Below are 2976 nucleotides of genomic sequence, written 5' to 3' on the forward strand. Positions count from 1 at the left end.
CCAAGGCCTCACTGGACCCGCAGTTCTAAAAGAAGGAAAACCTTCCTTACACATCTCATAAACACACCGCAAAGGAGGAGTGATGGGGAGAAGAAACCCCACCGCCCATGCCCCAGCTGCCTCCCTGGCTCCTTCATGGGCCCAGAACCCCATGACCCATTACCCTGAGTGCACAGAAAGTTCCCTAGCTTCTTCCCAGACATCCCGTCCTAATGGCCCACCATGCTCCAGAAAGCAGGCCTGGATTTCAGACCTACCGGGCTTGGAGACACCCCAGCGGCTTGAGCATCTTGACACTCTTGCTGCACCACAGACCAGTCACCTAGACTTTCTGGGGCACTGGGGATATGGCTGTACTCTTTAAAGCTTCCCAAGAGATTGTCCATGGACCGAGATAATTCTCGAAGGTTATCAATATCCTAAGCTAAAAGCGGTAGTGGAACTGCTGACGCAGATGGTTTCTTAAATTTTATTTTGTCAAATTAAGTACAACGAAGAGCTAAACGGTTTTTGGAAATAGATATCATGACTTGAATCAGGAGATGGCAGAAGCCTCCAGAATGGGGCCCATGTGATATCCTGGGCAGTGATTTGCTGCAGCAGCTGGGACCCAGGTGCCTTAGCTGTCTTTGCCTGATGGTTCTGAGCAGCTCCACCCTCCTTAATTAGCCCAAGGCTGGAATCAGGCTTGTGCAACATGAAGGTTTTGCAATTTAGGGATTGCCCTAAGAAAAGGAACTCAAAACTACACGTAAAAGAATGAAGCACAAAAGTGAATGCTTATTTAGAAGGAGCCTTTGGGGAGGAGCCCTGCAACTTAAATTTTATTGATTTCATGGTAGATAACGTCTATGACTCGGCTTCAATATCGTAGCACAGGCTGGGCTCTCTCTGGTGCTAATCAACCATCAATCAAGCGTCACTGACAAGCCATCCTTGCTTCTCGTGTGTGGATAACTGGTTGTGTTCTTAGGCCTTCCAAGGAGGGACTCCTATGTTCAAGGGCCACGAGGCTCTAGACAGTGGGCTGGCAGAGGCTGTACATTCTGTGCTATCTGTGCCAGGACTCCCCAGCCCTGCTCCCAACACTCCGTGGATGAATGGCAGTTATCTGCCGCATGCCTGACGGAACTAGCATTTCTATACTACAGTTCCATGCAGTGAAATTACTGGAAGACCCGGTCTTGGGCATCATTTCGCTCATGCTTTTGTGCTTCACATGAGTTGCTTAAAGCAACTCACCCGCGATACTGTGGGTGGCTGGGGTATTCATTTCTCACCCTGGCCCAGGGGAGGCTGCTGTGCCCTGACAGTCAGCCCCTCGGCTAGGGGTTCGCACTGTCATCTCCTGGCTACAATTTCTGGTCTCCGCTAAGCATTCTTTTCTTCCCATTTCCCACCAATTTTTCTTCCTCTTTTTATTTCTCTTCTTCCTTTTAGAACTACCAGTAACCCTCAGCTGCCCTAGACATTGCTCATGAGCGGGTTTGTTTGGCTGACTCTGCAGCGTGAGACATGGTTGGGCATAGGAGCTGTATGAGTCTGTTTCCACGCTGCTGATAAAGACATACCTGAGACTGGGCAATTTACAAAGGAAAGAGGTTTAAGGGACTTACAGTTCCACATGGCTGGGAGGCCTCACAATCATGGCTGAAGGTGAAAGGCATGTCTCACGTGGCAGCAGACAAGAGAAGAGGGTTTGTGCAGCGAAACTCTCCTTTTTAAAACCATCAGATCCCATGAGACGTATTCACTATCACGAGAACAACACAGGTAAGACCTGCCCCCATGATTCAATTACCTCCCATAGGGTCCCTCCCACAACATGTGGGAATTCAAGATAAGATTTGGCTGGGGATACAGCCAAACCATAATAGGAGCCATTGGAGGATTGAGTCAAAGTGGTTTCAGGAGGCCAGGAACACAGAATCTGCTTTGTAACCCTATGTAAATAATACGTGACTCAGGATAGCATGCCCCAAAATTCACGTCCACCTGGATTTCAGAACAGGACTTTATTTGGAAATAGGGCCTTTACTGATGTAATTCATTAAAATGAGGTCGTACTGAATTAGGGCAGGCCCTAAACCCAATGACTGATGTCCTTATAAGAAGAGGAGGGGCACACAGAGACACACAGGGACAAAGGCCATGTGAAGACAGAGCCGAGGTTGGAGTGACGTGACCCAGGAGCCCTGAGGTTTGCTGGGGAGGAAGGGTTCTCCCTCATGGCTGCAGAGATGGCGTGTCCCTGACAGTGACTTGACCTCAGACTTCTGGTCTCTGGATCTGTGAGACCATGCATTTCTGGGTTTTGTGAGCCATCCAGTTTGTGCAATTTGTTACCACAGCCCCAGGCACCCAAAATACATGGAAATAAATTACTTTGATAAACCAAGTCTCCAGTGTGTGGCTGACTGTAAGGTACTGAGAGAGAAAAACACTGCAACTTGCCTGTTTATGCCTGGATTTTTCAGCGTGGCTTTCATTTCCTAATTAAATGCAAGACCTTAAAGCAAATGGGTCCAGGAAAGGTAATACATTGATTTGACTCAGACTTAATGGTAAGTGATGTTTCTGAGCCAAACATTGTTTTGAAAACCTTACTTGGGCACTGACAGTGCCAAGTATTTGAATGCAAACAGAAAATGCAGTCACATAAGTGAACATTTCTTCATGCATTTGGTTATTTTGCTATGTCCGAAGAAGGAATGAAAATCTCCGGTCTCTGCTTGCGGACTCTGTGTGGTAACACATGAGGCACAGGGCGTGGGCTGGCGTTTGGCCTGCCTCCTGCTTTCTTCCATTCCTCTGGCCCTGGGTAGACTGCTATCACCTAAAGCACACAGAACTTTGGATATTTGCAGGAACTTTTGATGGTTTCAATTTCCCTTTGCTTATCAAGGGTTTTTTTTTTTTTTTTTTTTTTTTAGACGGAGTCTTGCTCCGTCGCCCAGGCTGGAGTGCAGTGACGCA

The 2976-nt window shown here is 47.7% G+C and overlaps 1 annotated feature.

Annotated features, from left to right (window-relative positions):
- Positions 1643-2321: a transcriptional cis regulatory region, noted in NCBI's record as "candidate enhancer chr18.1476 targeted for multiplex CRISPR interference". NCBI's record gives its function as "positively regulates DIPK1C gene expression with high confidence in K562 cells {active_cell/tissue: K562}" and the evidence as "EXISTENCE:mutant phenotype evidence [ECO:0000015][PMID:30612741]".

This window comes from Homo sapiens, chromosome 18, assembly GCF_000001405.40.
Source record: "Homo sapiens chromosome 18, GRCh38.p14 Primary Assembly".
NCBI classification, from domain to species: domain Eukaryota; kingdom Metazoa; phylum Chordata; class Mammalia; order Primates; family Hominidae; genus Homo; species Homo sapiens.